General features: G+C 47.3%; 1 protein-coding gene across 6 annotated transcripts, besides 1 other annotated feature; it reads left to right on the top strand.

The window, feature by feature from the left end:
* The first annotated feature begins 190 nt into the window (after positions 1–190).
* ST6GALNAC1 (ST6 N-acetylgalactosaminide alpha-2,6-sialyltransferase 1) lies at positions 191–26,541 on the top strand. 6 transcript variants are annotated; one of them, NM_001289107.2, is made up of 10 exons: positions 191–440; positions 6,212–6,348; positions 14,237–14,936; positions 16,365–16,533; positions 16,710–16,881; positions 17,159–17,297; positions 17,556–17,659; positions 17,853–17,942; positions 18,030–18,129; positions 18,421–19,185. In NM_001289107.2, the coding sequence occupies exons 3-10, from the start codon at positions 14,502–14,504 to the stop codon at positions 18,616–18,618; spliced, it is 1,407 nt and encodes a 468-aa protein (NP_001276036.1). In that variant the 5' UTR covers positions 191–440; positions 6,212–6,348; positions 14,237–14,501; the 3' UTR covers positions 18,619–19,185. The 6 variants fall into 6 exon arrangements, 5 of the variants coding, with proteins under 5 accessions (NP_001276036.1, XP_011523298.1, XP_011523297.1 ...); XM_011524996.3 differs by lacking the exons at positions 6,212–6,348; positions 18,421–19,185 and adding an exon at positions 25,558–26,541; XM_011524995.4 differs by lacking the exons at positions 6,212–6,348; positions 18,421–19,185 and adding an exon at positions 24,790–24,935.
* Positions 16,510–17,011: an enhancer, noted in NCBI's record as "H3K4me1 hESC enhancer chr17:74623019-74623520 (GRCh37/hg19 assembly coordinates)". NCBI's record gives its function as "activates a minimal SCP1, AML or CMV promoter by ChIP-STARR-seq in naive H9 embryonic stem cells {active_cell/tissue: H9 hESC(naive)}" and the evidence as "EXISTENCE:reporter gene assay evidence [ECO:0000049][PMID:30033119]".
* Positions 26,542–26,636: the final 95 nt, after the last annotated feature.

Genomic DNA, 26,636 nt, shown 5'->3' with positions numbered 1-26,636 from the left:
TTATATTTCTCATAAAGCTTGACTTTCAGATATTGGCTTCAAAGACAAAAAAGGAAGGTAAACATGTTTGAACACAAGGAGTTTCCCTTCCTTTAAGCCACGCCAGCTTATAAGCCTTCATACAGCAGTGAAGGCGGTTCCTCCCTTCCCAGGCAGAGACTGATAAACTCAGCACTTGCCGGAGTGGCTCATTGTTAAGACAAAGGGTGTGCACTTCCTGGCCAGGAAACCTGAGCGGTGAGACTCCCAGCTGCCTACATCAAGGCCCCAGGACATGCAGAACCTTCCTCTAGAACCCGACCCACCACCATGAGGTCCTGCCTGTGGAGATGCAGGCACCTGAGCCAAGGCGTCCAGTGGTCCTTGCTTCTGGCTGTCCTGGTCTTCTTTCTCTTCGCCTTGCCCTCTTTTATTAAGGAGCCTCAAACAAAGCCTTCCAGGTAAGATTCTTGTCCTTTCCACTCCTCATATTTCATTCATTTGAGGAAACAGAAAAATGATAGCCCAGGGAGGACTGGGGAAGTCTGAGCCACCTGTGTGTCCACATGGGAGTGTCAGGGGTCAGGAGTGTTCTCAAGAAGCACTGGGAAGAAAGACTAATGGGAAGACTTGCAGGGAACAGAAAGGGTGGCAGTGGGCAACCAAGACGCATGGGATGGACATGTCCAGATACTGTGGGACACGTACAGGAGTTTGAGAACTGATGGGTTAGGTCTGCAGAGTGCAGACAGAAGACATGACTGCTTTCCCCTCTGGGACTGTGAGTAATGGCAGCAGCACTGGGTTAGTTCTTACATGCCATTCTCTACGTCCTGAAGCGAAAGAGCCATGCTGTGTGTTCCACTTGTTTCAGACCCGGACTCACCCTAAGTTTGTCAGTTAAAATGGAGAGCCTCCCTCTTAGGGATGCAGTTTCAATTGTGGACGCCAAGTTAATCCTTCAAAAATACCTTCTAGACCATTTTTCTTAGAAAATACACACATCTCCAGCAGTGAGAGGCCCTCTTTTTTTTTTTTTTTTTTTTGAGACGGAGTCTCACTCTGCTGCCGGAGTGCTGGAGTGCAGTGGCATGATCTCAGCTCACTGCAACCTCCACCTCCCAGGTTCAAGCCTCAGCTTCCTGAGTAGCTGGGACTACAGGCGCATGCCACCAGGCCTGGCTAAGTTTTTGTATTTTTAGTAGAGACAGGTTTTCACCATGTTGGCCAGGCTGGTCTTGAACTCCCGACCTCAAGTGATCTACCCACCTCGGCCTCCCAAAGCGCTGGGATGACAGGCGTGAGCCACTGCGCCCAGCCAATAATTTCATTTCACTGTTCCTAAACGTTGAAAGTAATGCAGGTTCTCATAGAGTTAAAAAAAATACAGAAAGGTGAAGCAGGAAGTGAGGGTCTCCCTATTATACCTCCACCTCTATCCACTCTTCAAGGTGACCACTCTTGACACTTGAGGGTACACGGAATTCTATTATTATGTAGCTAACACTGCTATAGTATTTACTATGAGCTAGCCCCTATTCTAAGTGCTTGATATACGTTAACTCACTAATTCTCATTATTAGGACACTGAGATACACAGAACTGAAGTGATTCTCCCAAGGTCACCCTGCTAGTATGCGGCAGGGCCAAGATTCAAACCCAGGCATTTTGGTGCCATACCCTGTGCTCATTACCTTTATGCTATACAAGCCCGATAGATAGATGATAGATAGATAGATAGATAGATAGGCAGATAGAGAGAGAGAGAGATAGAGAGATAGGCAGATAGATGGACAGATAGATGGATAGATAGATGGAGATATAGATATCTATATATAGTATGGAGATATATATACAATATATACGCTATATATTGATATACTATATGTCAATATGTAGCATGAGAGATATGTATATATAGATATATTGTATATATAGATATAGATATATACACATATATATCATATAGATTTACATATATATGCACAAGAGAGCTTATATATATATCTCATATATACGTATATATACATATATATGTATCTCATGCTACATATTGTTCCACAGGTTGACCTTGTAAGTCACACTATATCATGGACATCTTTCCATGTCGGGACATACAGGTCCACTCCCTTCTTTCAACAGTTGCTTAGCATTCCACAGGGTAGGTACTGTTTACTTAACCAACCCCTATCAAGTTTCTCACATACCTTTGAGCACTTGCGTAAGTGATTTCCGGGTAGATTTCTTGAAGTGGAATTGCCAAGACAATGCATATGTTTACATGAAATGTCAGTGGACACCATTGAATTGTTGTCTCAGAATGCTACACTGACAGGTGCAAGTTTACTTTACCTCCCAGGACCACACTGGCTTTCATTAGGGTTTTGAAGTCTTAATCATCAGATAGGTGAAAGTGTTTCTCTTTTTAATTTGCATTTCTCAGATCACTGATGTATTGAGAATCTTAACTTTCTTAGTCATTTGTACTTTTCTATGAATGACCTGTTCATATCTTTTCTTCCTTTTTATTATTTTTTTCATATTTGTAGGAGCTTTTTGTATATTAGGGATATTAACCTTTTTATCATATATGTTACAATACTTCTAAATGCAGTGGGATAATTTAGGAATCAGAGAGACTGAAGGGTTGAGGAGGATTTATTATCATTATTAAGGTGCACTGGCCCAGTCACATTAACATCCAAAAAAACTGAGCCCCGAACAAAGCGTCAGGTTACCTTTTAAGCATTTCGTGGGGCAGGGGGAGATCTGTGCAGGGGGAAGCATATTACAGAAGCAAGAAACAAAGACAGTTACTCAATTGAGACATGCATTACATCATTTCTTACTTTTCAAGGAAAAATATGTTTTACGACTTGAGTTTATCTGCCTAGTGACCTTGCAGCTACACAGCTGCAGAGACAAGGTCTTCACAATGCCTGGGAAAGGGAGAGATAAGGCTCACTGGCCACAGACAGAAAAACAGGCAATTAATTTTTAAAGGATTCCACCTCTTTTTGTTTCTTAGAGGGAATTGGGTTTTTTTTACATACATCTGAGTTTTTGCTTACACATTCTTTAATTTCTTTTAATTCCTGTTTCAAAATATCTTCTTCAGCCTGATATTTGTTTGGTTTTATTTCACTGTTTGTGATATCTTTTGTCATACAGAAGTAATTGTTACATCAATAACATGTGTCCATCTTTTCCTTTGTGGTCACCGGACTTTGTGCAATTTTTAGGAAGGTCATTCCCAACCCTAATATTATATACATTTTCTTTTACACTTTCTATTAATATTTCTGTACTTTTGTTCTTTAAGCTTAATAAGAATCCATCAGAAATTTTCTTTTGTGTATGATGTGAATATAGGTTTGTATTTGTTGGAACACTTGATCGCAACTGACAAAAACCCAAGACAAGCTAGCTTAGATAAGAAGACAGGGGAGGAGAGAAACTCAGAGGGTTAGAGTCCTCCTGGGGCGATGTTTTGGGGTGGGAATGGGCTGCCTGAGAGTCACTCATAGTGACCGGGCCTGGCCTTCCCAGCAGATGCCACATGCCCTGGAGTTAAGGGGCAAATGTTAAGTAGAGCGATGCCTGGTTCTGGTCTAGAGATTTCTGAAGGCAGGAAGTTGTTGGAACTGTCCACGATGTAATGTACCTGGGAAGAGGCAGAACCACCCTGCCCCTCCCTCCCAGGTCTTCACAGCCCAGAAGGCAGTGGAAGGAAAGTTCAGCACTTCCCGGTGGGAGGGCAGAGACCAGAACCCTCAACTGCCCAGTTACCTGCCGGAGCAATAATGGGACACTCACTCCAGAACAGTGTTTGGGGACACTAAATGCCGCAGGGGGCAGTGGGAGACGTGATCCTAGAAAGGACCCTCCTGCGGGGATTCTCAGTGTAAAGGAGAACCCTTCCCCAGAGAAACCACATTTACTAATGTGCAGAGACCACCAAGTCAGCAGGGGCCCCCAACATCAGACAGAAGCCGAAAGAACCTCAGGGCAGGCAGGGACCCCCTAGCCCCACCCTCCAAGACAGGCGCTCACTTAAGTAACCATACCAGAGGAGTTAACGACTTGAAAAAAGAGGAGTTTTCTCAGTGCCTATGATTTTTACTGCCCGCCTCTCTCCAGCTTCCCCAATCTCCCCCTCATCTCATCCCCCACGTCTCCCACCCCCACTCCCTACCTCCAGCAGCCAAGGTCTGAGCTCTGGCCTGGCTGGCTTGGTGGAATAAAAGAGCTTAGAGCCAGGTAGAACACCTAGTGTGTGTGTGTGTGTGTGTGTGTGTGTGTGTGTGTGTGTGTGTGTGTGTGTGTGTGTTTATCATGTAATTATATGAATTTGTGAGATTACATGAATTATGTAATTTCTTCATTTATTTTTCGAGATGGAGTCTGGGTCTGTCACCCAGGCTGGAGTGCAGTGGCGCGATCTTGGCTCATTGCAACCTCACCTCCCAGGTTCAAGTGATTAGCCTGCCTCAGCCTCCAGAGTAGCTGGGACTACAGACGCACGCCACCACGCTCGGCTAATTATTGTACTTTTAGTGGAGACAGGGTTTTGCCATGTTGGCCAGGCTGGTCTTGAACTCCTGGCCTCAAGTGATCTACCTGCCTCAGCCTCCCAAAGTGCTGGGATTACAGCATGGGCCACCGCACCCGGCCGGCATTGTCTTATTTGTCTGTGTTTCCTCAGTGCTATGAACAGGGCCTGGACCCAGTGGAGGTGCTTTATAAATGCTTGTTGATGAAAGAATGAATTTGTCACCTTAAAAAACAGGCCAAAACGTTTAAACTTTATGGCTCTCAAAAACTTTAGAGTAAGGGAGTTAACTTGAGTAAATTCATGCTTTATGCAGAGTACTCTGTCAATAGATTACAGGATGGATGATCGGGGGAACGTGGTTTTAGAGGGGATAGTTTAGAGACCATTGCAACGGTTTAGGATAGCATTAATGAGACCGTGAGCGAGGACAGTTTGAACAGGAAGAAAGGACTGAGAAGAAGTCAGATCAGCTGGACTTGGCAACAAATAGGATGGTGGGAGGAGTGTAGCAGAAGAACTTCAAGACAATTCTGAGGCCAGGCACAGTGGCTCACGCCTAAATCCCAGCACTTTGGGAGACCGAGGTGGGCAGATCACCTGAGGTCAGGAGTTCGAGACCAGCCTGACTAACATGGTGAAACCCTGTCTCTCCTAAAAAATACAAAAATTAGCCGGGCATGGTCCGGTGCCTGTAATTCCAGCTACTTGGGAGGCTGAGGCAGGGAGAATTGCCTGAATCCGGGAGGCAGAGCTTGCTGTGAGCCGAGAGCATGCCACAGTACTCCAGCCTGGGCAGCAAGAGTGAAACTCCGTCTCAGAAAAATAATAATAATCAATAAATAAAAATACAAAAGTTAGCCAGGCGTGGTGGCGGTTGCCTGTAATCCCAGCTACTCAGGAGGCTGAGTATTATCGCTTTTATCACAGGAGAATCGCTTGAACTCGGGAGGCAGAGGTTGCAGTGAGCTAAGATTGCTCTACTGCACTCCAGCCTGGGTGACACAGCAAGACTCTGTCTCAAAAAAAAAATAAAAAATACAATTCTATGATTTCAAACCCATCGGGCCATCTCTCATATCATCTTAAGACGCACCCACGTGCATCATTTGTTCAGTGATGTGTAGATGTCATCTAAGACTATGTCTCTGCTTGGCTTCCATAGTCTGGTATAAATATGTTTTGGAAGATCTATGCTTGTTTTAGCTTTAGAGATGGTAATTAAGAGTGAGCTGTGTAGCATGGCCCCTGCACAAGGATGACGTGCAAATTCGTAAAGCGTTCCATTAAAAAAAAAAAAAAAAAAGAGTGAGCTGTAAAAACAGACCTATGGGTTCTGTTTGTCATTTTCTTGTTGTCACTTTATGTTCTCCAGCCTGGCCAGCATGGCAAAATTCCATCTCTACTAAAAATATGAAAATTAGCCGGGCACGGTGGCACATGCATGTAATCCCAGCTACTCAGGGGGTTGAGGCACAAGAATCGCTTGAACCTGGGCACTGGCTTCCAGTGAGCCGAGATCATGCCACTGCACTCTAGCCTGGACGACAGAGTGAGACTCTGTGTCCAAAAAGAAAAGAACAGAACTTTATTTTCTATCACCTCCTGATTTCTGATTCTGAACTCCCATCCACCAAGCTTCAGGAAAACTTAATCTCAGCTCTTCTTGCCCCTCTGCAGGATGGTATCAAGGGCTCCAGGACATCTGATGCGGTGCCAAGGCATGGGAGTGGGACGCTGACCCTTCGCTATTGAGTAGCTGCTGAAACAGCCATTGTTCCTGCCCCTTGGCTCTTTCAGGTCCACCTGGCTTATGTGTGAGAGACTTTTTTTGGGTTTTTTTTGTTCTGTTTTTTTGAAAAGCCAGTACCAAAAGCTTACATAATTGTATGATTGCATTCAAATAACATTCTTGAAATGATAAAATTATAAAAATACAGAACAGATGAGTGGTGTTTCTAGGGGTTGAGGAGGGGGTGGTGTAGGAAGAAAGTGGCTGTGGCTATAAAAGGACAACATGAGGGACCCTTGTGGTGACTGTTCTATGTCTTTTTTTTTTTTTTTTAATTCACATCTTTATTTATCCTAAACCTTTTAGGTTTAGGGTGTGATGGGAATCTTTTTTTTTTTTTTTTTTTTTTTTTAGTATTTATTGATCATTCTTGGGTGTTTCTCGGAGAGGGGGATTTGGCAGGGTCATAGGACAATAGTGGAGGGAAGGTCAGCAGATAAACATGTGAACAAAGGTCTCTGGTTTTCCTAGGCAGAGGGCCCTGCGGCCTTCCGCAGTGTTTGTGTCCCTGGGAACTTGAGATTAGGGAGTGGTGATGACTCTTAACGAGCATGCTGCCTTCAAGCATCTGTTTAACAAAGCACATCTTGCACCGCCCTTAATCCATTCAACCCTGAGTGGACACAGCACATGTTTCAGAGAGCACGGGGTTGGGGGTAAGGTCATAGATCAACAGGATCCCAAGGCAGAAGAATTTTTCTTAGTACAGAACAAAATGGAGTCTCCTATGTCTACTTCTTTCTACACAGACACAGTAACAATCTGATCTCTCTTTCTTTTCCCCACATTTCCCCCTTTTCTATTCGACAAAACCGCCATCGTCATCATGGCCCGTTCTCAATGAGCTGTTGGGTACACCTCCCAGATGGGGTGGCGGCCGGGCAGAGGGGCTCCTCACTTCCCAGACGGGGCGGCGGTCAGAGGCGCCCCCGACCTCCCAGACGGGGCGGCGGCTGGGTGGGGGCTACCCCCACCTCCCGGACGGGGAGGCTGGCCGGGCGGGAGGACTTTTCTTTTTTTGAAACGGAGTCTCGTTTTGCCATCCAGGCTGGAGTGCAGTGGCGTGATCTCAGCTCCGTGTGAGACTTTTCTGACACTGTCTGTGGTCCTGTCTTCCTAGGCTCAGGATTCTTTTTTTTTCCAGGGGTCTTGTTAGACCTTTGGAACACTGCCAGGAAGCAGGGTCCTCTGACCTTGGAACTCACAGATCCCTCCTTCTCTCATTTCCGCCACCCACCAGAGTAAAGGATCTTTCCAGGGGAAGGACAATGATGGTAAGAAGTAGTAAAGTCCTTCCCCCTCATAACTTCTCCAAGATTGATCTGTTTCACTACATCTTGAACATGAAACCAAATCTTAACTGCTGGAGGTATGGGGGTGGGGTGGAGAGGGAAACAAATAACATTTCAAAATAGTATATAATTGTATTCAAAAGCATGACAGGCGTAGAAAAGGGATGCGGCTGTTCATGCCCTGAGGTACTAACAGTAGATTCTTTGAAGGGACTGGGATAATAGGAGGTTGCTATCCTTTCATGTTTTAAGGCAGTTTCTGCTTTTTCCGTAATAAGCACACATTGCTTTTATAAAAATAAAAATAATTCATAAAAGTTCACTTCTGAAGACTCAGGAGAAAAAGACTCAGCTTAGGTAACCCCTACATACCAAAGTATCCCCCCGAGCAGAACTGCCTCCCTAGGCTGTCACCACTGCCTCGCACACGTATGACTAATATCATACCGATGACACTTTAAGGCAGCTGCTTATACTCATGTCTGTTTCTCTTATAGACTGTGAGCCTCTTAAAACCAGTGACCATTGCTTTTTTTATCTTTAATCTCTAGCAGATACCTCTGAATGCCTGTCATGTCATGGCTACTCAATGAATATTGCAGAATAAACATTGCATTGTGTTGTCAAGTTCTCGTAGAACTTTCCATAAGATGTCTCATTTAGTTGGTTTGTTGTTGTTATTGTTGTTGTTGTTTTGAGACAGAGTCTCTCTTTGCTGCCCAGACTGGAGTGCAGTGATGCGATCCCTGCTCACTGCAACCTCCACCTCGCAGGCTCAAACAATTCTCCTGCCTCAGCCTCCAGAGTAGCTGGGATTACAGGCGTGCACCACCACACCCAGCCGTTTGTATTTTTAGTAGAGACAGGGTTTCGCCATGTTGGCCAGGCTGGTCTCGAATTCCTGACCTCAAGTGATCCGCCTGCTTCAGCCTCCCAAAGTGCTGGGATTACAGGCGTAGGACATCTAACTTTCAAACCAGCTGACTGGCATTCTGGCCCACAGTGAATTCAGCTAGGCGAAGGGCATCTCTGAGAATGCTGGGGACCTGTCTGTTCAGGGGGAGCTCTGGAAGCTGTATCCAGCCACTGAAGTATGATGAGCAGCAACTGACTCATTTTCCTTCTGTTTTCTCTCGAGTCCCAGAACATAATAACATCCCCACTAGAATCTCCCCACTAAGATTGAGGTGGCTGAAAACCACCACACAGGCTTTGATTTGAGAAAAGAACACTCAGAATAACAAGAGAAAATGGATTTCTGCCATTTTTTTCCAGCATACAAAGATAATTAAGGCAATCATACAGCTTTTAGTCATGGAAGCAGCGTATAGACACATCTAAAGTCAAAGTAAAGTCGTAAAAATAAAGCATTCATTCACTTTTAGAAAACTTTCAGGATTTTCCAAGGAAGATAAACTTTGGAGTTTGTTTTTTGTTTTTGTTTTTTTTGAGACAGAGTCTTGCTGTATCACTCAGGCTGGAGTGCAGTGGTACGATCTCAGCTCACTGCAACCTCTGCCTCCCGAGTTCAAGCGATTCTCCTGCCTCAGCCTCCCAAGTAGCTGGGATTACAGGCATGCACCACCATGCCCAGCTAATTTTTGTATTTTTAATAGAGATGGGGTTTCACCATGTTGGCCAGGCTGGTCTCGAACTCCTGACCTCAGGTGATCCACCCCCCACCCCCACCCCCGGCCTCCCAAAGTGCTGGGATTACAGGCGTGAGGCACCACGCCTGGCCAACTTTAGAGTTGGAAAAGAAAAAGCAGAATGGCTGGTTTCTATCTCACATAAGACAGGAGACCCCGAAGAACTGATCAAATACCAAAAGGAGGCTGGAATAGCCCTCGTGGACACCAAGGGGGTCTTGGGAACTCCAGGCCCAGCTAACAATGTGGGGCACAGGAGGCAGGAGCAGTTCAAGGTAGAGAGCTCCACAGCAGGGAGTGGAGAGGGACACAGGGCAGAGCGAAGTGTTAGTTTGTCCTCCTTTCAAGGAGAAGCAGCATCAAAGCTGTGGGAACCAAACATGTAACCTGGAAGAGGAAAGCTCACCCAGCCAGGGGGCCTGAGATAAAATGAGGGCAAAGTTGATGGTGGGGACTGAGAAAGAGCCCAGGACTTAAGGACGTAAGTAGAGGCGATTCTGTGTGACCAGCCATTCCCACATACCAGGCGCAACTCACCTGCAGCCACTTCCGCTCGCTCTCCATGCCATAGAAGGCGGGAGCCCAGGTGCAAAATTATTTAGCGAATCAAAGGAGTCTTTTCAGCTCTTTTCTTATCCTCCTCCATAAAATAATCTTCTACTCATACTGGCTTTGTTAGTGAGTGACCTTTCCTTGGGGTATTTTTTCAAAATTCAGTTTCAGCCTCTTCAATATCCTAGTCAACTTCAACATTCCTGTGTTATCTCTCGTACTGTATTCTTGGAAAATACCGCTCTCTGGCCAATAGGTGTTTCATGGCTGCAGGCATAAACGAACTTTGAACCTTTTGCCATTTCTTCACTTCCAGGTTCCCCTTGGTGATGTACACTGAAGAATATAGAAGGCAGCTGGGCCTGGGGGCACATGCACCTGTAGTCCCAGCTACTCAGGAGGCCAAGGCAGGAGACTCGTTTGAGCCCGGGAGGTCGAGGCTGCAATGAGCTGTGAACGTGCCACCAGCCTAGACAACAGAGACTCAGTCTCAAAAAAAAAGAAAATATATATATACAGAGAGGGAGGATGTTGCCAGATAACTATTTTCCTGTTTCTTTTATTGTGCGATTCTTGTTCATGATAAATTGATTGATTGATTTTTAATTATTATTATTATTTGAGATGGAGTTTCGCTCTTGTTGCCCAGGCTGAAGTGCAATGGCACGATCTCGGTTCACCGCAACCTCCGCCTTCCAGGTTCAAGCGATTCTTCTGCCTCAGCCTCCCGAGTAGCTGGGATTACAGGCATGTGCCACCATGCCCGGCTAATTTTGTATTTTTAGTAGAGATGGGGTTTCTCCATGCTGGTCAGGCTGGTCTCGAACTCCCGACCTCAGGTGATCCACCCACCTCGGCCTCCCAAAGTGCTGGGATTACAGGCGTGAGCCACCACGCCTGGCCATTATTATTATTTTTTAATTGAGATGGAGTCTTGCTCTGTCACCCAGGCTGGAGTGCAGTAGTGCTATCTCAGCTCACTGCAACCTCTGCCGCCCAGGTTCGAGCAACTCTCGTGCCTCAGCCTCCGGAATAGCTGGGATTACAGGTGCGTGCCAACACACCAAACTAATTTTTTTTGCATTTTTAGTAGAGACGGGGTTTTGCCATGTTGGCCAGGCTGGTCTTGAACTCCTGACCTCAGGTGATCTGCCCGCCTCGGCCTCCCAAAATGCTGGCTCTATAGGCATGAGCCACCTCACCCAGCCAATAAATTCATTTATTAAAGTGCAACATTTTATATTTTTACTTCCCTAGTAGATCAGAATTATGCAGTTAAGTCGCTTTTTGTTTTGGTATGACCCATGATTAATTTGCCTGTGCCTCTGGACTAGAAGTCATTAATAGAAGAAAGCCTTCCCACACCCCAGCCCAGCTCACAGGGTCAGGACCACACAGGGCCGAACGCGTTGAATATGGGGCACTCAGCATATGGATACAATTTGAGCATTTAGTAAATACTGTGCATGAGAATAAGGAAATGTCTATCTCAACACCCACAGCCCTAGCAATCACAGGTGTATTTAATTATAGGGAATTAAATGAAACTTAATTACATAATTTTGTCACTACCTGGATTATTGCTGTGACTTCCTGCAAAACCTAAAGGAGTCATCAATCAATTGTAGATTTGCGGTTGAATAGGCCTTCCAGGAGTCACTGCGCCATTCCTGCTGCTAGACAGGGTTCCAGAGAGGAGTGCATTACCTCTTCAGGGTCAGTGTGGCCACTAAGCAGACGGCCAGCTGTCCATGCTATGTGTGGCCTGAGATGTGTGATGTCAAAAACCACCCCTGCCTCATCATCTCTCCCCGCCACGGCCAAGTTAAGGTGCCTGCCAGCCAGGCAGCTACATCCATGAAAATGTTCGAGATAGGGAAAATGTCATTCAGCAGAATTCCTCTCTGCCGAGGGCTGCCGGAGTTTGGAAGGGAAGTTTCCATAGGCTTCTTGAGGCTGGGGGTTGGGAAGTGGAGGTCAGGGTGAATCCACCAAGAGGCTTTGCTGGGTAACAAGAGCTGTTTGTTAAACCGGGTGAACAGCTTGGTTTTTGCTGAATGGCCCACGTGAGCTTAGAGGTTACACTGAGTAGTCAGACCAAGGGGAGTGGTGAGCCTCACACACACCCACACAGCACTCAGACCTTCTACTAGGCAAATGTGGAATGAATTGATCAAGAATGTGTTCTTCACTCACTCAGGTTTCTCACTCTGTGTTGAGTGGCATTCTTTCAGAATGGATATTTTGGGGGTGTCTTCCCAGTTCATGAACCAATAACCCCCTCTTTCTCTTGAAAGTGTCCTCCTCCCATGCACAGAGTGGGCCCCAGAATGTCATGTAGTATGTGACCGAGACCCCTGGAAAGGGATGGAGATAGGACCCAAGGGGGCCACAGTCTTCTGCTAGAGTGAAAAATTGGGAGAAAAGGGAGTCCACAGTCCCCAGTACAGGTGTTATGGGGTGGCCATCTTCCACCAGCCTGTGGGTTGGAGAGCAGAGGAGGCCTGTCTGCAGAGACAGAAAGAGTAGAAGAAAGCTGATTCAGAGGGAGAGGTGAGATAGAGACAAAGCCTTAGAGAGCGATTCCTGGTTCCAAGCCCCCCCAGAGGCTCAACTACTTCCTGCTCTTGGGTTCCTTGAAACACTTTCTATTCTTATAATAAATTTTTCCTTTTCTTTTTCTTAGTTGAAAATGAAAAATACAGAAAGAATTAGGGTTTGAAGCCCATTAGCCTTTTCGGGATGCTCCATATCTCAGTCCAACCCTGTCCTGAGGCCCATCTCTCCTTTCTGGTTAGAAATATCTCTCATCCAAGCTACTTCTTTGAGTCATATAACAAAGGCAGAGGCATTTTCTATGCAAGTCCAGTTAAAAATGTGTGTGTTTAGGCCAGACGCGGTGGCTCACGCCTTTAATACCAACATTCTGGGAGGCCAAGGGTGGAGGATCACTTGAGGTGAGGAATTTGAGACCAGCCTGGGTAACAGAGTGAGATCCAGTCTCTAAACACACACAAGTGCTCGCGCACGCGTGCACACACACACACACACACACACACACACACAGAGATTAGCTGGGCATGGTGGTGCATGCCTGTAGTCCCAGCTACTCGAGAGGCTGAGGCCACAGGATCGCTTGAGCCCAGGAGTTTGAGGCTGTAGTGAGCTGTGATTGTGCCACTGCACTCCAACCTGGGCGACAGAGCAAGACTCTGTCTCTTAAAGAAAAAAAAAAAAAAAAAATTGGGCGCGGTGGCTCACGCCTGTAAAATCCCAGCACCTTGGGAGGCCAAGGTGGGCAGATCACGAGATCAAGAGATCAAGACCATTCTGGCCAACATGGTGAAACCCCATCTCTACTAAAAATACAAAAAAAAAAAAGAGCCAGGCGTGGTGGCATGCGCTGTAATCCCAGCTACTCGGAAGGCTGAGGCAGGGGAATTGCTTGAACCAGGGAGATGGAGGGTGCAGTGAGCCAAGATCGCGCCACTGCACTCCAGCTTGGGTGACAGAGCCAGACTCCGTCTCAAAAAAAAAAAAAAAAAGAAGGGTTTCAAGGAGGAAGGATCCCTGGGAGGTAAGGAGGAAGAACTGTCAGCTGTCAGCCCTTTCCTAACACCCTTGGGAAGTTTAGGCTTCAGTTTCAAGGTCAGAATAGAGAGTGCCCCCGCTGGAGACCCTGAATAAATGTGTTGCTTTGAGGCTGAGAAAGGCTGGAAATACCACCCAGGGTCAGCTGCAGCTCAGGCTAGGAGGCCTTAATGGAGGAAGGGCTTGCATAGGTAATCAGCCTGCTTCCCATATTGCCTTGGCCGGCCCTGCCTTTCTCCAGTGATCAAAGACCTTTGTTTCCTGCCTCGAATAACAATAATCGTGTATCACATAGGTCCAAGGTCTGTGTCTTATTCCAATTTGTATTCCCAGTGCCTGCACAGCACACTGCACAGAATAGACATTTAGTAAACGTTTGTCGGATGAGATGCTCTCCTGTATGTCCTATGTACATATCTCAAATTCTATTCCGCTTTTGTTTGAATCTATTTTCTGGCCAGGCACGGTGGCTCACACGTGTCATCCCAACACTTTGGGAGGCCGAGGCAGGTGGATCACTGGGCAGGTCAGGAGTTCAAGACCAGCCTGGCCAGCATGGTGAAACCCCCATCTCTACTAAAAATACAAAAATTAGCCAGGCATGGTGGCGGGTGCCTGTAATCTCAGCTACTCAGGGGGGTGGGGCAGGAGAATGACTTGAACCCAGGAGATGGAGGTTGCAGTGAGCTGAAATCGTACCACTGCACTCCAGCCTGGGTGACAGAGCAAGACTGTGTCTCAAAAAAAAAAAAAAAAACAAAAAACTACTTATGCTTCTGACCTGTTTCCACAATCTTCAGCCTTCATCAAAGGTTATCTCTGTCCCTAGGCATCAACGCACAGAGAACATTAAAGAAAGGTCTCTACAGTCCCTGGCAAAGCCTAAGTCCCAGGCACCCACAAGGGCAAGGAGGACAACCATCTATGCAGAGCCAGTGCCAGAGAACAATGCCCTCAACACACAAACCCAGCCCAAGGCCCACACCACCGGAGACAGAGGAAAGGAGGCCAACCAGGCACCGCCGGAGGAGCAGGACAAGGTGCCCCACACAGCACAGAGGGCAGCATGGAAGAGCCCAGAAAAAGAGAAAACCATGGTGAACACACTGTCACCCAGAGGGCAAGATGCAGGGATGGCCTCTGGCAGGACAGAGGCACAATCATGGAAGAGCCAGGACACAAAGACGACCCAAGGAAATGGGGGCCAGACCAGGAAGCTGACGGCCTCCAGGACGGTGTCAGAGAAGCACCAGGGCAAAGCGGCAACCACAGCCAAGACGCTCATTCCCAAAAGTCAGCACAGAATGCTGGCTCCCACAGGAGCAGTGTCAACAAGGACGAGACAGAAAGGAGTGACCACAGCAGTCATCCCACCTAAGGAGAAGAAACCTCAGGCCACCCCACCCCCTGCCCCTTTCCAGAGCCCCACGACGCAGAGAAACCAAAGACTGAAGGCCGCCAACTTCAAATCTGAGCCTCGGTGGGATTTTGAGGAAAAATACAGCTTCGAAATAGGAGGCCTTCAGACGGTGAGTTTTTGCCACCACGCCTTCCCTCTGGCTCCCAGCTCTGAAGCCCCTCCTGAGAGGAAGCCCAGCCCACCCTCTCCTCACCTCCTGGGCTCTGCTTCTAGACTTTGTCTTGTCCTGCCCCAAGCTCATTATGAGGCAGAGCTCAGCCCTACAAGACTCTGCCCCACTTGTCTTTCCAATGATGGCCACAATGGGGGAGGAGGAGCAGGCAGGCCCCGGACCCCTGGTGTGGACAGCGTAAGAGGGGTGAGTGAGATGGGGCCTGCCCTGGAGCTCCTGAGGCCTGGAGGTCATCCATCTGGGGTGACAGAGTGTGATCTACTCTGGGGCTTGGCCCCTGAATCCCCATCCTCTCGCGGGGGCTGCAGGGGAGGGACTCACAGACAAGGACACCCCAACCTCATGCCCAGCTCTGTCCTCCAGGAATGCCTTGTCTTCCCTGCAAAGTCAATTCCACAGCCTTCGCTCTCTCCCAACCCTAAGGAAACAGTCTGACTGAACCACACCCACCCACATGGTCCTTCTCACCTGTCCTTGCAGAGGGGCAGTGTCCAAAATGTGTATGTTGCTGGGTATAGTGGCATATGCCTGTAGTCCCAGCTACTCAGGAGGCTGAGGCGGGAGGATCACTTGAGGTTAAAGTGAGCTATGATGGCACCACTGCACTCCCGCCTGGGCAACAGAGTGAGACCCTGTCGGAAGGAAGGAAGGAAAGACGGAAGGAAGGAAGGAAGGAAGGAGGGAGGGAGGGAGGGAGGGAGGGAGGGAGAAGGCCCATAAAATGCACACATTTACACACATATGACTGGAAGCATGGCCCTGACAGCACACTGGACACATGCCACATTCCCAGGATGCGGCCCCTCTCACACTTACAAAGGTGCATTTGCATTTTTTTTTTTTTTTTTTTTTGAGATGGACTCTCGCTCTGTCGCCCAGGCTGGAGTGCAGTGGCGCAATCTCGGCTCACTGCAAGCTCCGCTTCCCGGGTTCACGCCATTCTCCTGCCTCAGCCTCCCGAGTAGCTGGAACTACAGGCGCCCGCCACCACGCCCGGCTAATTTTTTGTATTTTTAGTAGAGACGGGGTTTCACCGTGTTAGCCAGGATGGTCTCGATCTCCTGACCTTGTGATCCACCCGCCTCGGCCTCCCAAAGTGCTAGGATTACAGGCGTGAGCCACCACACCCGGCCTAGGTGCATTTGCCTCGATGGCCGAGAACACCCATTTCCCAGAACCCTCAGGACCACAATGAGCCCAGACAATGGGAAGGGGAGGGTAAGCAGACCCTGAGAACAGAATGGAAGAGGTAGCAGAGGCCGCGCCTTCCAAACTGCGAGCCCCAGCCCTTGCTGCAGTGGTGCAGCCCCTGGCCGATGGCCTTTCTGGGTCTCTCCCTTCCTGACTTCGTCCTCCTGTATATAGACTTGCCCTGACTCTGTGAAGATCAAAGCCTCCAAGTCGCTGTGGCTCCAGAAACTCTTTCTGCCCAACCTCACTCTCTTCCTGGACTCCAGACACTTCAACCAGAGTGAGTGGGACCGCCTGGAACACTTTGCACCACCCTTTGGCTTCATGGAGCTCAACTACTCCTGTGAGTCCTTAACCCAGGGGAAGGTGTGGGTGCGCAGTAGGCCGGGGCAGAGGGCAGAGGGCAGCTGGCTTTCTGGTCTGCCTCTTCCCTGGGGTTTGCCAGACCTGGGAGGAATGATGGGTCGGACTCCTGTCCCTCCCAGGGCTCTGAATGGAGCACCCCCACTCTTGTTCCAGTGGTGCAGAAGGTCGTGACACGCTTCCCTCCAGTGCCCCAGCAGCAGCTGCTCCTGGCCAGCCTCCCCGCTGGGAGCCTCCGGTGCATCACCTGTGCCGTGGTGGGCAACGGGGGCATCCTGAACAACTCCCACATGGGCCAGGAGATAGACAGTCACGACTACGTGTTCCGGTAAGCTGTCCCCACCCAAGCTCCCTCTCCAGCCCCTCTCCTGCCCCCTCCAGCCCCCCTCCAGCCCCTCTCTTGCCCCTCTTCTGCAGACATGGACTCTTCTGAGAGACCCATAGGATGTTCCACGCCTGCATCTGGAAGGTGGAATTCCTGGGCTCTCGAGAGAATTTCCGCACATAACTGCTGCCTCCCCCATTTCTCCTTCCTTTCCCCATCCACCTACACAAATCTCCCTCCTCTGCTCACCTGTCCCGTCTGATTGTGTCTTTCTGCACAGATTGAGCGGAGCTCTCATTAAAGGCTACGAACAGGATGTGGGGACTCGGACATCCTTCTACGGCTTTACCGCCTTCTCCCTGACCCAGTCACTCCTTATATTGGGCAATCGGGGTTTCAAGAACGTGCCTCTTGGGAAGGTGAGCAAAGAGGAAGGAGCCTGGCCACACCCAGACTCTGGATGAGGGAGCACAGGAGGTGAGAAGGGAGAGGAGAGGCTTTCATCCGGATGGAGTCTGTGGTTGGTACAGGCTCCCCTCCTATAAGGGCAGGAGTGGGGAGGACAGTCAGACCAGTCCAGAGCAGAGCAAGTGGGCAGTCGGAGTCAGAGCTGGGCCACCCTCGGTGGTGGTCCTGAAGGCAGTACTTTTGGACCACTCCCTGTCCTTGGTCCTCAGGACGTCCGCTACTTGCACTTCCTGGAAGGCACCCGGGACTATGAGTGGCTGGAAGCACTGCTTATGAATCAGACGGTGATGTCAAAAAACCTTTTCTGGTTCAGGTACCCACTGTCCTCCTGCCATCCCCTTATCCCAGGCTGAGCCATGTCATGAGTGGCTCTAAAGGGTTGGACAGGTGGGGACAGCCTTAGCTATCACCTGGAGATGGGATACCAGTCATGCTCATGACCCTGACTTGGCCCACCCCAGACCAGGTAAGGGAGCTGAGTCTGAATGACCCCTTCCTAACCACAGGCACAGACCCCAGGAAGCTTTTCGGGAAGCCCTGCACATGGACAGGTACCTGTTGCTGCACCCAGACTTTCTCCGATACATGAAGAACAGGTTAGAGCAGAAAGCACGTGACACGTAGCCCAGGTCCCTGTTATCCTTGCAGCCTCCTGACAGTTGGGGGTTTGGGGCATTTCACAGGTTTCTGAGGTCTAAGACCCTGGATGGTGCCCACTGGAGGATATACCGCCCCACCACTGGGGCCCTCCTGCTGCTCACTGCCCTTCAGCTCTGTGACCAGGTAAGGCTCCACTGCAGCTGCAGAAATACCTGGAGAAACAGCTCCTGGGCTATTCCTGGGCCTGTTCAGCATAGGACAGTGCATGGGCTGGGTGCCCACATCTGCTGGGAAAGAGGGTGGGCATGAGTATGGGTGCATGCAGTTATGCGTGCGTATCCAGGGACCTGCACCCAGACCCCTAGGGACGGAGCCAGGGAAAAGAACCCCCACCCCTCAACACAGAATTAGCCATGAGAAGAAGCCTGGGCAACAGCAACTACAGGCCGTGTTTCTCCTCCAACCGTGATGTAGGTGAGTGCTTATGGCTTCATCACTGAGGGCCATGAGCGCTTTTCTGATCACTACTATGATACATCATGGAAGCGGCTGATCTTTTACATAAACCATGACTTCAAGCTGGAGAGAGAAGTCTGGAAGCGGCTACACGATGAAGGGATAATCCGGCTGTACCAGCGTCCTGGTCCCGGAACTGCCAAAGCCAAGAACTGACCGGGGCCAGGGCTGCCATGGTCTCCTTGCCTGCTCCAAGGCACAGGATACAGTGGGAATCTTGAGACTCTTTGGCCATTTCCCATGGCTCAGACTAAGCTCCAAGCCCTTCAGGAGTTCCAAGGGAACACTTGAACCATGGACAAGACTCTCTCAAGATGGCAAATGGCTAATTGAGGTTCTGAAGTTCTTCAGTACATTGCTGTAGGTCCTGAGGCCAGGGATTTTTAATTAAATGGGGTGATGGGTGGCCAATACCACAATTCCTGCTGAAAAACACTCTTCCAGTCCAAAAGCTTCTTGATACAGAAAAAAGAGCCTGGATTTACAGAAACATATAGATCTGGTTTGAATTCCAGATCGAGTTTACAGTTGTGAAATCTTGAAGGTATTACTTAACTTCACTACAGATTGTCTAGAAGACCTTTCTAGGAGTTATCTGATTCTAGAAGGGTCTATACTTGTCCTTGTCTTTAAGCTATTTGACAACTCTACGTGTTGTAGAAAACTGATAATAATACAAATGATTGTTGTCCATGGAAAGGCAAATAAATTTTCTACAGTGAAGATGCAACTAGTTGTTACTCCATGGATAGGGACCAGTTTTGCACATGGTCCCTTTCATTCTTCTATTCTCCCCATTAACCTGCTTTCTTTTTCAAACCCCCATGACGAGAATTGAGCTAAGCCAAAGACATTTCAGTTCACCTTACCCTTTGAGCTCTATCTGCAGGATTTGGACTCTGGAGCCTGGAACAACCCTAACAACTCTAAACAGAATAAAGTGGCCAGGCACGGTGGCCTGTAATCCCAGCACTTTGGGAGGCCAAGGCAGGCAGATCACTTGAGGACAGGAGATCTAGACCAGCCTGGCCAACATGGTGAAACCCCGTCTCTACTAAAAATACAAAAGTAAGCCGGGCGTGGTGGCGGGCGCCTGTAATCCCAGCTACTTGGGAGGCTGAGACAGGAGAATCACTTGAACCTGGGGGGCAGAGTTGCAGTGAGCCAAGATTACACCACTGCACTCCAGCCTGGGCGACAGAGCAAGACTCCGTCTCAAAAAAATAACAAAAATAAAAATAATAAATAAATAAACAAATAAATAAATAAATAGAATAAAGGACCCTCGGTAGGAGAGTGGAAGGGAGAGAGGGGAGCTTCGCTTTAGATTTCATGGTTAGGGAAGGAGGGGACCAATGGGACAGGGATTTGCTTTGCACTAAAAGGGTGCAGTGCCAGCTCCGGGCGGCAGGTGGCGGCAGCTCGGCGCCCTGCTCGCGGCGCCCTGTCCTCCGCGGCACCCCAGGCTCCTTACTTCAGCAATAAAAAGCAATAAATGCTTTTCCCCCACAAAGCTCTAGTCACAACGACTTTGACAGGGTGGACATCACATCAGGTCAGAGCAGGAGAGAAAATGAGTAGCCATGGGCAGAGAGCCCCCTTACTCCCATATTGGCCTCCTCAAATTTAAACTCAGGCTACCTAAACTTAACGACTGAGCCTCACCGAGTGTTACTCGAGTCCAAAGTAGAATATACTGATGGGTTAGATCACTCTGCTAGTATAAGCCAATAGAATTAGAAAAGATAGGTCAATTAGAGGCATAAGGATTGGAAAAGAAGAGGAAAACTGTGATAAATAGGCTACATATTATAGTAAGTTAGCAGGATATAAGATTGGCATACGGAAATCAGTAACTGTCATAAACATAAATGATAATCAAGTAGAGGATGTAATGTAGAGAAAACCCATTTACAAGAGCAACAAAGTCTGTATGAGGAAAACATTAACACTCCTGAAAGACACAGAAGTAGACCCAAATAAGCCAAGTCATCTTTTGTTCTTGGAAAAGATGACTCAATATCATAAATATGTCAGTTCTCCTCAAGTTAATTAATAAACTTAGTGCGATTCTAGTAAAATGCCAAAACATTTTTTCTAGAGCCTAAACTGATACACACATTCATACGGAAGGATAAAAATGTAAGAAGAGCTAGGAATACCTGCGAAAGAAAAGCTATGAGAGAGGTCTACCTCTACCAAATATTCAGACATACTATAAAGTCTCTATAATTAAAACAGTGTGGTACTGAAGCAGGAATAGACAGACCAGTGAAATGGAACAGAAGGTCCAGAAATAGACCCAAGCATTGTGATTAATGGTGCTCAGACAGCCAGGTGGTCATTTAGAAAGAAATCAAACTAGGTCTGTAACTCCCATCAACAATTAAATTCCAGATGGTTCAGAGATCTAAATGTAAAAAAATGAAATGACAGAGGCCGAGGCAGGCGGATCACAAGGTCGGGAGTTCAAGACCAGCCTGGCCAATATGGTGAAATGCTATCTTTAATAAAAATACAAAAAATTAGCCAGGCCTGGTGGCGCATGCCTGTAATCCCAGCTACTCTGGAGGCTGAGGCAGGAGAATCGCTTGAACCCAGGAGGCAGAGGTTGCAGTGAGCAGAGATCGCGACATTGCACTCCAGCCTGGGCGATAGAGCAAGACTGTCTCAAAAAAAAAAAAAAAGAAATGACAAGAGTTCTAAGAATTCATGGGTGAGTAGCTCTTTGACTAGAACGTAAGAAAAAGATTTCTAACTAGGACTCACAATCCAAAGGCAATACCAGACTGGTAAATTTTACTACATAAAATTAATAAAATGGGCCAGGCGCGGTGGCTCACGCCTATAATCCCAGCACTTTGGGAGGCCAAGGTGGGCCGATCATGAGGTCAAGAGATTGAGACCATTCTGGCCAACATGGCGAAACCCCATCTCTACTAAAAATACAAAAATTAGCTGGGCATGGTGGCGTGCACCTGTAGTCCCAGCTACTCAGGAAGCTGAGGCAGAAGAATTACTTGAACCCGGGAAGCCGAGGTTGCAGTGAGCCAAGATCACGCCACTGCACTCCAGCCTGGTAACAGGGTGAGACTCTGTCTCAAAATAATAATAATAATAATAAAATGTTGCATGGTGAAAAAAATCACCAGGAGGTCAAAAGACAAATTAAAAAGTGGGAGAAAATATTTGCCACATATATCACAGATAAATGGTTAATATATATATATATAGTAAAGGACTTTGAGGAAAATAGACCAAAAACCTAATAGAAAAATAGGCAAAAATATATATATATATATGAACAGCAACTCCCCAAAAAAGATGTAAAAATGATTCTTAGACATGTGAAAAAAATGTTCAGTTTGACTCATAGTGAGAAATGCAGGCCAGGCGCAGTGGCTCACACCTGTAATCCCAGGACTTTGGGAGGCTGAGGCAGGAGGATCACTAGAGGCCAGGATTTCAAGACCAGCCTGGGCAACATAACAAGACCCTGGTCTCTATTAAACAAAAACAAAAACAACAAAAAAAAAAAAAAAGAAAAGAAAGACTTTAAACAAATTAAATTTAGAAGGTTTTTTGAGCAAAGAAACAATGAATCAGGCAGCACCCTGAACCAGTAAAGGTTCAGAGAGCTCTACCCAGCAACCTGGGTAGGCAGTACTTATAGACAGAAAAGGGAAGTGATGTACAGAAACAGCTGGATTGGGCCAGGTGTGATGGCTCACGCCTGTAATGCCAACACTTTGGGAAGCCGAGGCGGGCGGATCACCTGAGGTCAGGAGTTCGAGACTAGCCTGGCCAAATGATGAAACCCCACCTCTACTAAAAATACAAAAATTAGCCGGGTGTGGTGGTGGGCGCCTGTAATTCCAGCTACTTGGGAGGCTGAGGCAGGAGCATTGCTTGAACCTGGGAGGCACAGGTTGCACTGAGCCGAGATCATGCCACTGCACTCTAGCCTGGTGACAGAGCGAAACTCCATCTCAAAAATAAAAAGAAGCCCGGGTGCGGTGGCTTATGCCTGTAATCCCAGCACTTTGGGAGGCCAAGGCAGGCAGATTACCAGGTCAAGAGATCGAGACCATTCTGGCCAGCATGGTGAAACCCCATCCCTACTAAAAGTACAAAAATTAGCTGGGCGTGGTGGCGTGCACCTGTAGTCCCAGCTACTCGGGAGGCTGAGGCAGGAGAATTGCTTGAACCCAAAAGGCGGAGGTTGCAGTGAGCCCAGATCGTGCCACTGCACTCCAGCCTGGTGACAGAGTGAGACTCCATCTCAAAAAAAAAAAAAAAGAAAGAAAGAAAGAAAGAAAAGAGAAGAAAAGAAACAGCTGGATTGGTTACGGCTCCACTTTTGTCTTCTTTGGACAAATCTGAACAGTTTACAGTCTGTGACTGGTTGAAAGCCCAGCTGCTAAGATTGACCAAGACTTGGCTATTTGTTACAAGAATATTCTCTCAGCTTTAGGTTGTAGTTTGTTTACAAACCAAGTTAGGTTACAGTTCTCTATCTACAGAGGCAGCCTTAGGACAAATTTAATTCAACAGTACTTATGCCTTGTACAAGATAGAATAAGAAATATGCGACCAGGCATGGTGGCTCATGCCTGTAATCCCAGTACTTTGGGAGGCCGAGGCGGGTGGATCACTTGGGGTTAGGAGTTCAAGACCAGCTTGACCAACATGGCAAAGAAGATGAGGATCTCTACAAAAAATACAAAATAAAAATTAAAAAAAATAGCTGGGCATGGTGGCACACGCCTGTAGTCCCAGCTATTCAGGAGGCTGAGGGAGGAGAATCACTTGAACCTGGGAGACGGAGGTTGCAGTGAGCCAAGATCGTGCCACTGCATTTCAGCCTGGGTGACAGAGCAAGACTTCATCTCAAAAAAAAAAAAGGAACACAAAGAAAAGATTTACCAAAACCTAATGAGATTGGTTACCTAAGGGGGCTAAATAGGAATAGGGCGGAAGGGATAAGAGATTGAATAAGGGTCAGCAGAGGCAGTGGCACTACTCCCAGTATACCTTTTTGCAGTTTTGCCTTTGCACTTTACATACCCAAAAAATAATGAAATCAACAGGATGGGGAAAAATACTAAAATTGAATACAAAGAGAAACAAATAAACCTAACAATAAGGCTGGGTGCGGTGGCTCACACCTGTAATCCCAGCACTTTGGGAGACCGAGGCAGGCAGATCACCTGAGGTCGAGAGTTCAAGACCAGCCTGACCAACACAAAGAAACCCCGTCTCCACTAAAAATACAAAATTAGCTGGGCATGGTGGCACGTGCCTGTAATCCCAGCTACTCATGAGGCTGAGGCAGAAGAATTGCTTGAACCCGAGGGGCAGAGGTTGCAATGAGCCAAGATCGCACCATTGCACTCCAGCCTGGGTGACAGAGCAAGACTCTGTATAAAAAATTTTTAAAAAGGCCGGGCACAGTGACTCATGCCTGTAATCCCAGCACTTTGGGAGGCCGAGGCAGGCGGATCACCTGAGGTCAGGAGTTCGAGACCAGCCTGGCCAACATGGTGAAACCCTGTCACTACTAAAAATACAAAAATTAGCCGGGTGTGGCGGTGCATGCCTGTAATCCCAGCTACTTGGGAAGCTGAGGCAGGAGAATCGCTTGAACTTGAGAGGCAGAGGTTGCCATGAGCAAGATTGCGCCATTGCACTCCAGCCTGGCGACAGAGTGAGACTCTGCCTAAAAAAAAAAAAAAAAAAAAAAAACTAACATTATTAAAATCTAATTTATAACCCCACAGAATGGGCAAAACAATATTTCAATTATATATCCTCAGAATAAAGACAAAAAGGATAACAAACATTGAACTCTAGTTGGTGGGTAGGTTTGTTTTTCACACTGCTTTATCATTCTGAAGCCACTTTCAATGAATTACAGGTTTCAACAATTAAGAAAATATGTTAAGGAAAATGGGACTCCTGTTTCTCATTGTCAAAAAAAGTTACAATTATGGAAAGAGGCAAGTCTATAATGAACAATGAACCCTCTGGTGTTGGACTAGAATTCAAGGTATCAGTATGAACTTGTGGTTTTAGATCTAAAGAAAGAATTCTATGGGTGGGAATCTGCCTATAAACATGCACACACGTATACATACATTCCCTAGATCCGTCAGTGAATAGAGTCTAGAAGCAACGAAACTCCGCTAACAGTGAGTACACGTAATCTTGGGTTCCTAGATAGCATTCTTCACTATAAGCAACCAGGACTTCTTAGAGAGAAATGGCTGATTCCAGGGCTGGGGTAGGGAAGGTACAAAATGAACCTGGAACATTTTATTGTTCTAGAAAGTAAGGACGTGCTTAAAGAATGGAACACATCAAAAGAACACAGAAGCCAGCCTGAAGACGCTCCCACTGGCTCAATACAAGATGATTTGAGAATGAAAATTGGTAATGATGGTAATGAATTTCAACACATTCAACAAATGGTAATCTAGGAGTCCACACTGATATAAATAAATACATACACACATACATAAGAAAGAAAATCTTTTTCTTTTGAGGCAGGGTCTCACTCTGTCATCCAGTCTGGAGTGCAGTGGCGTGATCTCAGCGCACTGCAACCTCCACCTCCTAGGTTCAAGCGATCCTCCCATCTCAGCCTCCTGAGTAGCTGGGACTACAGGCGCACACCACCAGGCCCAGCTAATTTTTTTTTTTTTTGATATGGAGTCTCGCTCTGTTGCCCAGGCTGGAGTGCAGTGGCGCGATCTCAGCTCACTGCAACCTCCACCTCCTGGGCTCAAGCGATTCTCCTGCCTCAGCCTCCCGAGTAGCTGGGACTACATGCGCCTGCCACCACGCCCGGCTAATTTTTTTGTATTTTTTAGTAGAGATGGAGTTTCACTATGTTGCCCAGGCTGGTCTTGAACTCCTGGGCTCAAGTGATCCACCCATCTCAACCTCCCAAAGTGCTGGGATTACAAACATGAGCCATTGTGCCCAGCCAAAAAATTTATAGCTTTCAATACAGTTCAAGATCAACCTAAAATTACATACACATTTACCACGAATTATCTTTCCTATTGATAAATTGTTTTTTCTGTCCTCCAGATGGTTTGTACAATAAAGGGGAAGATTAAAGAATCTCTCTGAAACATGACAGACAAGTTGGCAAATTCATGTCATGCCAGCCTGCCCCCACACCCGCATTCTCCTCAGCCCTCCTAGCTGTATCTGCTTCTTCTCTACAAACATAAGAAGAAATAGAAGTCTAGAGGGAATAATAATAGCCTGATACCCCATACTGATAGCCTGATGAAACCACCTGCTTATTGTCTGACCTGCTTTTCATCTGTGAACACATAAAAATGTGGCTCTGTTCATTAACATTAAGGACATAGAACGGGGAAACCTTGGCTGCTAAAATCAAAGGCCATGACAAGTTTGCTGTTTGAAGTCACATCAGTGAGAATGGAACAAGCCACTCTTGCCTGGAAGATGGAACATCCCAGTCTTGCCTCAGCAGCATGCGGGTCCCTTGACCCAGAGAAACAGCCCCAATCCCAACCCAGGTGCAGAGCTTCAGATAACCAGAATGAGCACAACATTCTACATTTTTCTTAACTATGTCAAACAGACAGGACCTTGAGTCAATTTTGAGGGCCAGGCCTTCAACTCCAGTCTGAAGTTATTCATCCAGCAAATTTTTTTTCTTTCTTTTTTTTTTTTTTGAGACAGAGTCTTGCTCTGTTGCCCAGGCTGGAGTGCAGTGGCGTGATCGCAGCTCACTGCAGCCTTGACCTCTTGGGCTCAGGTGACCCTCTCACCTCAGCCTCCCGAGCAACTGTGATCACAGGTGCATGTCACCACACCTGATAATTTTTAAAAACTTTTTGTAGAGACAGGCTCTCACTATATTTGTTTTAAACCTATCAAAGAACTGCTTCATTTACATTTTACCCCCATTCCATCCTTCCCCAAATCCTATAACCACATGTCCCTTCTTTTGCATGGGGAGGTGGCCCACAGTGCCTTGAATGGGAGCCAGTAACTCCCCTGCTAGAATAAGCTAATAAACCTAATTTGTGGACATATGGACGTGTCCCCCATGGTCTTTATCAGATGGGTTTGACCGCATCACTGGAGAGAACTGCCACAAGCCAAGACTCCATCCAGGTCTCTCCCATTCT

The sequence above is a fragment of the Homo sapiens genome, chromosome 17 (genome assembly GCF_000001405.40).
Source record: "Homo sapiens chromosome 17, GRCh38.p14 Primary Assembly".
In the NCBI taxonomy this organism is placed as follows: domain Eukaryota; kingdom Metazoa; phylum Chordata; class Mammalia; order Primates; family Hominidae; genus Homo; species Homo sapiens.
This window is presented reverse-complemented; position numbering and strand designations above follow the sequence as displayed.